The sequence below is a fragment of the Homo sapiens genome, chromosome 6, assembly GCF_000001405.40.
Source record: "Homo sapiens chromosome 6, GRCh38.p14 Primary Assembly".
NCBI classification, from domain to species: Eukaryota; Metazoa; Chordata; class Mammalia; order Primates; family Hominidae; genus Homo; species Homo sapiens.
In genome coordinates, this window is record NC_000006.12 from 116236744 (window position 1) to 116249733 (window position 12990).

At 35.7% G+C, this 12990-nt stretch overlaps 1 protein-coding gene across 2 annotated transcripts in view; it reads left to right on the plus strand.

Annotated features, from left to right (window-relative positions):
- The window catches only part of NT5DC1 (5'-nucleotidase domain containing 1), a 148645-nt gene extending 135891 nt beyond the window's left edge, over positions 1–12754 (plus strand). Inside the window, exons 9-12 of one of the 2 annotated variants that reach the window (NM_152729.3) lie at positions 223–341; positions 1444–1605; positions 2212–2380; positions 7166–12754. In NM_152729.3, coding sequence (NP_689942.2) covers positions 223–341; positions 1444–1605; positions 2212–2380; positions 7166–7281 — 566 coding nt within the window. In that variant the 3' untranslated portion in view covers positions 7282–12754. Of the gene's footprint in view, positions 1–222; positions 342–715; positions 1407–1443; positions 1606–2211; positions 2381–7165 lie in introns of those variants that run through there. The other variant, XM_006715378.4, reaches the window with a different exon arrangement.

The following is a 12990-nucleotide window of genomic DNA, read 5'->3' on the forward strand; positions in this document are numbered from 1 at the left end:
ATAACTTCCTTGAACCTTATTTTCCCCAATTAAGAAGGCCACGGGATTAAAAAGTATATACCTATAAGGGCCTTATAATATGTAGGTACCACTGAATGTCAGCTCCTTTCCCCACAAGGTTCTTGTTTGTACATGTCCTGTAGCCATGCCCTAAGTGTGGTCTGCCCAACTGGCTACTCTCACTTGATTAAAAAGTATATGATTGTCAAACTGTATTTTCAGAGAATGATGAGGAGCAGGAGGCACTGCCATCTCTGGATAAACCTGGCTGGTACTCCCAAGGGAACGCTGTCCACCTCTATGAACTTCTGAAGAAAATGACTGGCAAACCTGAACCCAAGGTATTTCCCAGTTGAGGAGAAGTCCTCAGTGCCCACTTGCAGACATAAGCAGTTGTGAACTGCCAAATCTCTCCTCTTAATTCTTCTGCTTAAATAAGCCTTTCCTTTGTCAATGTAGACAGGCTGTCTATCTGTGATAGAGAGGAGCAAGGATTCCAAGCAGGGCACCACAGATTTAGGGGGTGTATGAGTGTGTAGGATGCCTGTGGAATGTTATCCTGATAACAATCTATCCAAAAAGTTTCCATATATAAAACAAACAACTGAAATTATGCTACAGACTAGCTTAAAGATACACTTGTTTTTGACAGAATGATCACATTGTTGATGTTGGACATTGGTGCATTTCTAACAGCAGAACCCTTTCTTCTAAGAAAATATTTACCAGAATTTCTGTGAGCTGAGAGATCGTGGGGTAACAGAGCCCTGCTCCATTGGCTGTCACCATGCCACAGTCTCCTGGGGACTCCTGAGGGTTAATGGATGGAGCAGTCTGACTTGCAGATGCTGATTCTCATATCCCTTAACTCTGTTTTCACATCTGAAAATTGAGAGGTATGGACTCAATCAATGGAGTCCTCAGACTCCATTGCCTCAGACTACCTAGGGAACTTTCCAGATTCAACATGCCCAGCCCCACTCTCACAGATTCTGTTTCAACCAGTCTGGGGTTGGGCCCAGAAACTTGAAAAGTGGTTGTGATTTGCACTTTTAATAATCTCTAATCCACTATAACAAGTTGTCTCTAATACCTCACCAGCTCTTCAACTGCAGGGGCCATTTTATTAATAATTGTAAACATCTATGTAAACATATAGGTTCACTTCTTTAGGAAAATTGAATAAAATCACTTATTTCACCTTATGCTGTCTTCCACCTGTGAATGTGTTGTATAACTTCTTAAGACAAATCTGGCACCCTGTGAATCAAATGAGACAAGTTGATGGTCACCTGTGAGATTATTCAAATAAGTGAAGATGTTTATGCAATTTTTGATTGTCATACTCTGATGCCTGTTGAGAAATTTTCTTCTTCCTTATATGAAATAAATGCCACTTTCACAATTCTGTGCCTCAAACAGCATCTGCTATCTGTCTTACAGGTTGTTTATTTTGGTGACAGCATGCATTCAGATATTTTCCCAGCTCGTCACTATAGTAATTGGGAGACAGTCCTCATCCTGGAAGAACTCAGAGGGGATGAAGGCACGAGGAGTCAGAGGCCTGAGGAGTCAGAGCCTCTAGAGAAGAAAGGAAAATATGAGGTAAGGGTTCCCTGCAGCTCTTTCCTTGAAAGACAAATATTTATGTTTGAAAGCTAAAGTATCTTTATACTACTTGACTCCAAAATTGTCCTGGTCAGGCTGAATACCATCATGTTAAAAAAAAAAAAAAAAAAAAGAGACTAATAATTTGAAACTTTGTATTAATTTTATTGACTTCATGTTCCATTTGTATTGAAAGCAATAAATAATAATTCCATCCTCATTCCTTTCTAAAAAATAAATACTAAATATGAAAATTAGACCAAGTTGTTTTTTAACTACCCTTTAGACATCATCATCATCATAATAGAATAGAGAGTTATTTTTATTATAGGGAAAAAATTATGTTTTCTAGGTTGCTTTGTTTGGGCTAGTTTTCAGATAATAACCAATTGACCATATAAAAAGCTAGTTTGTGTTTAAAATAAAGGATACTTCATAATAAGGAGGAAATATTATTCCTGTTCCAAAAATTTAATGTGGGCCCAAAGCCTATTTGTAGATTCCTACAGGGTTTCAAAGTTTTTATTTACTTAATAGACAAAAAAATTATGAGATTGAACATTAGTTAATCACCATTTTAATTATTCTGTTCTCTTGTTTCAGGGACCAAAAGCAAAACCTTTAAATACTTCATCTAAAAAATGGGGCTCTTTTTTTATTGATTCAGTTTTGGGACTGGAAAATACAGAAGACTCCTTGGTTTATACATGGTCTTGTAAGAGAATCAGTACTTACAGCACTATTGCAATTCCAAGTATTGAAGCAATCGCAGGTAAGGGGGAAAATACCTATAAAGCTTCACCTGTTACTAGACAATAATGACCAGTACTAGAATTCTTGTCTTTAAGAAAAAGAAATGTTGCCACAACATTGATTTATCTTTGGGGAAAAATCTTCTAGATATGGAACCTAGGTAATTAGGACCAGCACTTCTGTGGGAGGCAACTACAAAAGCTCAACAATTTTTTTTTTAAGTCAGCTTGGAGGCATATTATAAAATTAGGGAAAGAGTTACCAGGACAAGCTGCTGAGGAGGCCCAGTAAGGTGAACCTGGCATTTGAGGCTGCTTTTCCCCCTGGGTATTTGCTGATTCCGGAGGCGGCACCACAGAGGGTGAGTGGGCCTTTCAGTAACTTCATGAATCTACAGGAATAGGAACTGGAGGAGAGGGCCTGCCTAAGGAGGGTGGGTCTGGTGAACTCCCTCAATCTATGTTGAGGCCTTGAAGGGCTTTACTTTAGAATAAGGATGAATTGAGAAGAAATCTCCATTTTCACAGGGACTAAAACTCAGCTTGAAATCAGCTAAATACCTAAAATTGGATTGAGGAGATTTCAGATTATTAGTGCCCCTGCACACCTGGTAGAAACAAATATAGATTCTCTTTTGAGGAAGATAACATCATTCTAGGACTCAAATTATTTCTAAAAACAATTCATATAAAATTCAGTGCATAATGAAAAATAGCCGGGCACATAAAGATATGAGACCACACTAACAGAAATAACCATGTTAATTATAGTCAAATACAGAAAAGGAAGGAATGAGAAATTTGGTAGAGACAAAAACTATTGTATAAACTGTGGTATAAAAAGAATGGAGATTGTAGAATTTAAATATTTAAAAAATGAAATTAAGAACTTAACAGATGGATTTAACAGCGAATTAGACACAGATGAAAAGTCAGTGCACTGGAAATTAGGTCAAAAGAACATATTTGGAATGAAGCAGTAAGAGAAAAATCATAAAAGATACAGAAGAGAGGCTGAGACATAAAAGATATAGTGAGAAGGAGTAAGATTTCAGGTAAGATATGCACTGAATTTTATGTGAATTGTTTTTAGAAATAATTTGAGTCCTAGAATGATGTTATCTTCCTTCTGTATTCTTGGGTTTCACATTTTCGGATTCAACCAATTGTGGATAAAAATTATTCAGAGGAAAAAAATAATAAAACAATACAACAATTTAAAATGTTACAAATTTTTAAAAATATAGTATAATAACTATTTACATAGCATTTACATTGTATTGGATATTAAGTAATCTAGTGATGAATTAAAGTATACAGGAAGATGTATGTAGGTTTAATGCAAATATTATGCCATTTTCTGACTTGAGCATGCACAGGCTTTGGTATCCACAGGGGTCCCCTGCAGTTACTGAGGGGCATCTGTGATTGGAGTCCCAGGAGATGAGAGAATAAGTGAGATGAGAGAAAATGATGGGGAAAAAAATAAGCCAAAGGTTTAAGAAGCCCAAAGAAATGAAACAAAATGAAGAAAAAATAAATTCAGAGTTAACTGCTAAATGCCAAAGATAATTAAATATTAAAAGCAATCAAGAGCATAAATATAGATTAAATAACAGATTGACATCTGACTTATCAGAAACAGAGGAGAGTCAAAGACAATAGAATGATAGCTTTAAATTGCTGAAAGAAAATGATGTGAATCTTGATGGAATTATATACCCAGTTAAACATTGTAAAGAATAAAAGTAAAATATTGGCCGGATGTGGTGGCTCACGCCTGTAATCCCAGCACTTTGGGAGGCCGAGGTGGGCGGATCACCTGAAGTCAGGAGTTTGAGACCAGTCTGGCCAACATGGTGAAACCCCGTCTCTACTAAAAGTACAAAAATTAGCCGGGTGTGGTAGCAGGTGCCTGTAATCCCAGCTACTCTGGAGGTTGAGGCAGGAGAATTGCTTGAACCTGGGAGGCAGAGGTTGCAGTGAGCTGAGATCACACCACTGCACTCCAGCCTGGGTAACAGAGCAAGACTGTCTCAAAAAAAAAAAAAAAAAAGTAAAATATTTTTAGACAGGGAATAATAGAGAAAATGTATGTCCAGAAACCTGCACTAAAGGAAATAAAGATTATTATTCTCCAGGTACAATTAAAAATAATTCATGTCAGAAGACTGGAGATGCAAGAAGAATGTATATAAGTATATGGTGTAAGTATATGAATAAAAAATGAATGCTTACTGTTTGAAACAATAAAAATTAAAGTCCCATGGGATTTACATAGAGAATTAAAATGCCTGACAGTAATGGCATATATATGCCAGAGTGGGGCAGCAAAAATTAACATGTTCTAACATGCTAGAATTAAACAATTAAGGATAAGACTATGTTCAGTATTGATGTCAGAAATGCATGTTGTAATCTCAAAAATAACTCTCAAGAGAATTGTGATGATATACATATACCAAGCTAATATGTAAAATAATTTAAGAATCTAAAAGAAAACAAAGGAGATGAGAGAATATTAAGAATCAGCAAGACGGCCGGGTGCGGTGGCTCACGCCTGTAATCCCAGCACTTTGGGAGGCCGAGGCGGGAGGATCACCAGGTCAGGAGATCAAGACCATCCTGGCTAACACGGTGAAACCCCGTCTCTACCAAAAATACAAAAAATTAGCCAGGCGTGGTGGCGGGCGCCTGTAGTCCCAGCTACTCAGGAGGCCGAGGCAGGAGAATGGCATGAACCCGGGGGGCGGAGCTTGCAGTGAGCCGAGATCGCGCCACTGCACTCCAGCCTGGGTGACAGAGCAAGACTCCGTCTCAAAAAAAAAAAAAAAACAAAACAAAAAAAAAAAAAAACAAAGAATCAGCAAGACAAATGGAAAGCATTTAGTAAAATGTTTAATTTAAACCTGAAGTAATTACATTAAATGTATGTGACCAAATACTCCAATTAATAGCCAATTTTAAAAAAATAACAATACCCGGCAGGGCACGGTAGCTCAACGCCTTGTAATCCTTGCACTTTGGGAGGCGGAGGCGGGCGGATCACGAGGTCAGGAGATCGAGACCATCTTGGCTAACACGGTGAAACCCCATCTCTACTAAAAAATACAAAAAATTAGCCGGGTATGGTGGCGGGCGCCTGTGGGAGGCTGAGGTAGGAGAATGGCGTGAACCCGGGAGGCGGAGATTGCGCCACTGCACTCCAGCCTGGGCAACAGAGCAAGACTCTTGTCTCAAAATAAAAATAAAAAAATAAAAATAACAATACCCAATTATAAGTTGTTTATAAGAGATATATCTGAGACATAAGGATTCAGAAAGTTTGAAAGTTTAAATATCAAAAGACGGACGAAATAATACCATGCTAACAGTAACCAAAAAAAAAAAAAGAGAGAGAGAGAGTGGCTGCATTAATATGAAACAAAGTAGATATTAAGGGGAAAAATGATTAGCATGAGAGAGATCACTTCATAATTATAAACTCCTAGTTCTCAGAACTATATAACTGCCAGTCTAAGATACTCACAAAGTCCCCTCTCCTCTCTCAGGTCAGAATTTAATCTTTCCATTTTCACAATACCAAGAAAATGCCTAAAAAAGAAAACATCCACTCTCCTTTATAGAGGCATATGCTTTCCGCTTGGATTCTTAGTTTGCAAATTTCCTTCAGCATTTGGCAAAGGGTTTGAGGAGACAACCAGCAGAGTCCAGTTCTCTGACCCTTCCTTTACAGTGGTCCTAGCCCCTCAATTTTTGTCTCTGCAGCCCTGCAAGACTGTCAAAATCTCTACTGGTTTTTCTGCTGCTTGTAGTAGCCCTTACCACCAGCCAGAATTCCAGCACCAGAGGAGAAAAGCTGAGGCTTAGTGTTAGCTCCTCTCTCCGCTGGTTCCTCCTTCCCAAGAATTGTGCCTCAAGTCTTGGTTGCCTCTTTAGCTCTCTGGTGACACTTCAGTCTCGTGTTTATATTTTATCCAGATTTTCCAGTTGAAGTTAGAAGTCTAGTTAATTTTTTTGAACTTCCGATTCTTCTTCCTTAAATTGAAGAAAGTTGCCATGTTGTATGTATTAAAATTCTTATTTAGCTAAGCATTTGAAGATTATTCTTAGTAACCCTCATCCTGTGACTATGAAGAAGATTATTAGGTCTCATTCACCAGTTTTACATGATCCTCTGAGGAGGGCCTGGGAGTTTTTTTTAAATTTTTATTCAGATAAGCTTTCATATTTTTGTATTAACTTCTGTGCAGAGTATTAAAATTAAACTCACATAGAGCTCGGGATGATTTGAGATATCTCTAAATGTGATTTGACTTAAACATTATTATAAATTGCATAGAGAAAGATATCTAACTCTTCATCCTAAGTGACCTTTGATAGACCTTTTCTGTAATATGGGAGAAAGAATAAAATTAAATTGTTTTAAATGAGATAGGAAGTGAAAAATAACCTGGTACATCCCTTTTGCCTCTTAAAACCTTTTTATATTCAAGTAATGTTTCTATACTTGTGGATATTCTGTTAGACATGGTTATCTCATTCACATTTAAATGCCTAGAAGCCTTTTTTATAGCTGTTGTAAAAGTTTGTCTTTATTAGCCATATGTATTACAATGGTGGTTGGTTTATACACATTTTTAACCTTATAATAATAGCTACACACAGACCTACTGAAGGAGCAAAAGAAATATTAAAATTTTACGTCTAAAAAATAAGTTTTATTAGTGAATATCAAGTTTTGATTTGTTTATGAAAGGCATTCAGAGACCTGTGCAATAATTAAATTTTTTTTTCCTCCCCAGAATTACCTCTGGACTACAAATTTACAAGATTCTCTTCAAGCAATTCAAAAACAGCTGGCTACTATCCAAATCCTCCACTGGTCTTATCAAGTGATGAGACACTGATATCCAAATAAGTTGTCTTTACTGAAAAATGAAGTGAAGACCCATATATGCAGTTAAAAAAAAGTTAATTTTCAAAAAATACTGTAAAAGACTTTAAGGAACAAGTTTTATTGACCAATAAGTTGATATTTGTCCATAGGTCTCCTTTCTATAAATCATCTTGATGTTTAACAACTCTTATTATATTAAAATCTCAGTATCCTAAAACTTAGAACCTTATTGATATTTTCTATACAGTAGTTTTGTGATTAGAATTCACCTGGGGACACACACTCACACGCACAGTCACTCTTACACATATGCCTAGTCCAGTGGTTCTCAAAGTGTGATCCATAGACTAATAGCATAGCATTACCTGAGAACTTGATAATGCATATTTGCAGGCCCCACGCAAAACCTGCTGAATCAGAAGCTCTGAGAGTAAGGCCTACCAATCTGGTTTAACAAGCCCGTCAGGTGATTCTGATTTACAGTACAGTTTGAGACCCACTGGCTAGAACATATCCTCCAGAGACTTGGCTTAATTGGTCTGGGTAAATATGGCTGAGCGTTGTTATCTTTTGTTATCTTTTATATGCCCTAGGAAAGTACAACCAGAATTGAAAACCAACTGATCTATACCAGTTCTTTCAATTAATAGTCAAGAACATTGAGTCCAGTGAGATTAAGTGATTTTTGCAGGCTATGAGGTTTTATGCTATTCCTGTGTTCTCCAAAACAAGAAAATAAAAAGACATGACTTATTCTCTGTTCATACAGCAAGTATGGAAAAAAGATGATCTAGAAGTCAACTATCTCAACCTCCATTGTTACCCACTAGGTTTTTTTCTAATAATGTTAAAGGCTATTTAATTTATTTAATCAACTTTAAGCATTACATTCTCAATTGGGGACAAAAATTGGTTCTTGGGGTGAAAAAATATTAGATATGGCTTGTGGACTTCCAATATCATCCTATCCAACAAAATCTTATTCCTTAGTATTAATTTATCTCATTGGGAAGAAATTTGTAGTTAAAACTATTTAATGTAATTTGAATTTAATTTCTGTAATTGGGAAGGAGGGTAATAATGAACAAAAAGTTTGAGAAAAAAATGCTTTAATGGGTTTTACAGGCATGCTACAATCCAGGACTGTGGTGTTCTATGTGCCGTGTATGGTCATATTAGTAGCTATTTGTTGCAAGATACTTGAAGCCAAATGTTTGCAGTATAGGTTCCTGGCTACTGTTTATGCTGTGATTTCACTCTGTCTATCATGGGCAGTATTAGAAAACACACTGGTTTTCACTATCTGGTTTACAAACACTATCATTATTTTACCTGGATTGAAGTGCAGAATTTGGCATATCGATGCATGCAATGGAAAGAAAAAAAATTTGTTAAAATTTGTAAATGTTCAGCTAAATCTCAGATATACTGTGGGATGAGTATCTCAGGGTAAGTAACAAAAAAACAAACAAAAAAAATCACTGAAATTTTTCCCTCACAGTCAGTAGCTTTGTTTGATATTTAACAATAAGTATATGGTGATATACTTGAAATTTATGTCCAGAATGTCACTGGAATATTACAATGAGCATAAATAATCAAGCTTAGGACTAAATGAAAGATACTATCTCATGTATGCTTTAAATAGAGAATTTATTTCTTTTAAAAATAAAGCTATCTTTCCTTATCCATGTTTACTCTGTAAATGGCAAATAATACATCTTTAAATGCTTATGAACTACTGTTAATATGAAAAATGAGAAGTCCAAAATAAGAAATAACTGCACTTTTTGGGCCACTTGAGTAGTGGCGGGGGTTCAGGAGGCAGAATTCAGTTGTCAGAAGTTCTAGTATTCCCTTTATCATTCCACCTAAAGACCCTGAACAAGTTACCACCAAATTTGGCTTCAGTTTTTTCCATCTTATGAAAGGAAAAGTTTAGTTTATTTCTAAATTTCCTTCCTTTCTAGCAGTCAGTATTTCTTCTAATGAATGTTTTTTTTCTGTAATTAGAAAGACTATAATTAGGCTTTTTAAATTTGTATTTTCATTCTTTGTAAAGAGTGCCAATGGATATGAAGATTAAAAATAATCCAAATCCATAAAAATTAAAAAGAAAATATTAAAGAAGTTATATGAAGCAAAAAAATTGTATAAATGGACAGAAGACATGTAATATTCGCATACAGGCAAACATTCATAATCTAAAGGACACCTAAAAATAGATGTAAGCGAGCGGAGGTTTTCTTTGCTGGCCACTGTTTATCGCATCAGCAGAGGAAAGATCTGAATGACTCAGTGACCAAATGTTTTGTCAGAATCTGGTATTTGGAATACTGAGGTAGTAAAAACTTTATCTGAACCATGAATTACAATCTAAAATCAACTTCTGAGTTTGTTAAACTCTAAACTGAAATCAAGTATTATTTCCCCACCAATATTCATATCCAAAAATAACTTTAAATACACACACACACACACACACACACACTTTTAGTGAACTGGTTTGAATGAAAATAAATTTATATAATTATTTTATATAACAAATCAGCATAAAATGGAAAATCAAACTGCCTCTCTAGATATAATAACCTTCACTGACTGTTGGAAATACATGGATAGCTTTTTAAAATCTTCAGTGTTGGAGTAACAGTCCCTTACATCTTTTCAGCCTCTTGAGTACAAGAAGACTATCATAAGAGTTAGTTCCAGATTGGTGCAAGACTGGAATACACTTGACTGCTTTTATTAAAGCCATGAGGGCATACCAAGTAATTCACCCAGTATGGTCTTATTGCCACCCTTGAAAATCCCTGGGCATGGTCCAGTCCACATAGAATGAATTCAGAAAGGTGTCTCTTGTTGGTCTCTAGAACTATCCTCAGAAATAATAGTAAAACAGTGGTCATGAGTAGCCTCACTAGGCTACTTCATGTACATTATCTTGTTTACTCTCTATAGCAACCATATGAGATGTATATAATTATTAAATTGTACAGATGGGAAAATTGAAATTCAGAGAGATTAAATACAATGCTTGCTCTGTGTTACACTGTTAGTAAGAGAGCAATACATGAACCCAAGTTTGATCCTCAAAATCACACTTTTAATTACTTGATACATAATGTCTTCCAATATTGAATCTAGACTAGGGCAAATTCTCAGCCCAAAACCACACTTCAATTTAGCAATAATGTCGTGCTAGGACATGAGAGGGATTAACATTGAAGACACAGCCTCTATCTTTAAGTAATTCATAATTTAGCCAAATATATTAAATATCTGTAATATAAAACTTACCTAGGAAAGTAAAATAGAGATCCAAGAATCAGGAGTCCTAAAGCATATAATGAGTCTGTTCCTCTTGGAAGCCACACATGTCAAGGTCATCAGTAAGCAGGCCTACTCTTTCTTCATATTCTGGGTTAATGTTCACCTTGACTGCTTGGTAAATTTCCCTCACTGGTGCTGAAGTAACCAAAATGGGGAAGGAGTGATGAAAACTCATCTTTGAGTAAGCTTAGTGGGAAATAGTATATCTGGGCCTATAGAGAAGTTGGGTCATTACTTAGAATGACAACTGGAAAAGTACATAGACTGCTTGCCAATCAGTTTGTTGTACCATGTACCTGTTCACAGACTCTTTTCAAAAAACAAGTTTATTTTACTTTTTTTGGTACTTTGGTCATGTTGTTTCCTTGGTAAAGATCAAAGTTGAATAAAGCTTAACAAAGTTTAATAAAGAAAAGGAATAAATTACTATCTAAATGTGTTAAAAGCAATCACCAAGTTTAATCACTTAAAAAATAAATATTCTCTTAACAGAAATGTCAGCGGTTACTTACAATGCTTAGCAGCTAAATTCCATGAGTATAACGTTTAATGTCTTTTTGGTACATTAAATATTCAGTGCCTTTGATGAAGGGAACAAACTGATAATTTCATTCATGTGCAGCAAACATCAAGGTTACATAAGTAAATTCAAATGTGTCAATCTGTAACTGTATGGAGTCCTGTATTAAATCAAGTGATAAAATGTACCCTTCTCAAAGGCTATTCATGAATAAGCATAACCTTCAACTGAGGCCTGAATAGTCATGTGTCAGTAGGGTTTTTGTTAACATTTGTATGCCAAATTTATTACGATAGCTGTGATAGAGTAGAAGTTATGCTAGCTTGAAATCAGAAAACTCAACAGTGAGACTTGCATCTTAGGCAGTTCTACTTTCTGGACCTCTGTTTTCTCAACTATTTAAATGGAAATAATAAAACTTGTGTTACAAGGATTATCAAAGTAATATGTGCACTTCGAAGTGCCTGACATATCTCAGATCTTTTGAGGAGATTGTGAAGCCAGGGAATAAGTAACTGAAACAAGATCAAATATCCATGTCTTAAATTGTGATTCTCTAGGACAGGGACTCAGTAATTAAAAATATAGGCAAGGGTTTGTTTTGGTTTTTGTTTGTTAATGATGAAAACATTTAAGGACGTTGAGTTAACTGGAGATAAAGCAGCAGCACGAGGAGTAATGGGGAGAAGGGCCTGATGAGAAGGTCAGAGAAGCCTTTTATAAGTGTCTGGCTTGCACTGAATGCCCAGAAATGGAAGCGCAAGGAAAGTGTTGTGTGAGGACCAGGGTAATTATGCAGTGTCACCACTACTCACAGGGATTATGGCCTGAGAAACTAAAATGATACTTCTTAGGTGACCAGAGGATGGGAGAACTTCTTAACTGGTTTGGAGGTCCACATAAAGAATAATTGGGGTCTAGAATTAAGGAAGGAAAAGCAATACAAAGAAATGGAGCAGGGCTATAGCAGTGAACCAATTGGTTGGTAAGTGAAACCTGTAAGATGCCTAATTGAGTAATTTAATGACTAATTTTATTAGGCTAAACAGAACAGAAACCATGCTAATCTGTAACAAATAAGTGGCGCCAGCCTATTACAGTGAATGCTATTGGTTAGACTAAAGCAGATAATAAACCAAGTGTAGGAAAAATGACATTTTCTGATTACATCCAGAACAGGCATAGAAAAGGTATAATAAAGCTTGAAACAGGTGGCTGACAATGCAGAAATCAATCACTGAACTGAAAAGGTAAAATGAACATTGTTAGAGGAATTTAGGATTAAGATGGATGTAGAGCTTGCAAAAGAAAACCTAGCTCTCTAATACTTAAAGTTCTCTAGCCCTAGAAAAAAATACCTCAGCAAGAAATTGCAAGTAATAATTGCACCAAGAGTCAGCATCTATTTTAACTGTATGTTTAATTAAGTTTCTAACTCAAATGAGAAATTTTGGGCCATTTTTGTCAAATTTTTGCTTAGATGGCTACAAATACTTAGCAATTCATTTTCATAGATTTTGTAGCATCCACAAAGCCCTCCTTACTGCAGAGAATGCAGAGGTATTTATCCAATAAACTTTCATGTAATTGCTGCTATACAGCAAAACTATCATTACCGGTAATTAAAGTTGTGATACCTGATATCATTTGTCTCTAGACATTTTATTTCATATTTTCTTGGTATTCTTTTTAAAGCCACACATTGGTGTAAGAAAAGAATGTTAAGTAGCACTGACAGAATACACAATAATTAATTCTTCCAAAAGTCTATCTTAAGCTTATTAGATCTCGGAAGGCACAGTTAATAATAAATGTAATGAACAAGGATGCTGCATAGACAAGTTTTCCACTGAAAACAGTATTTTAAGTGATACTAT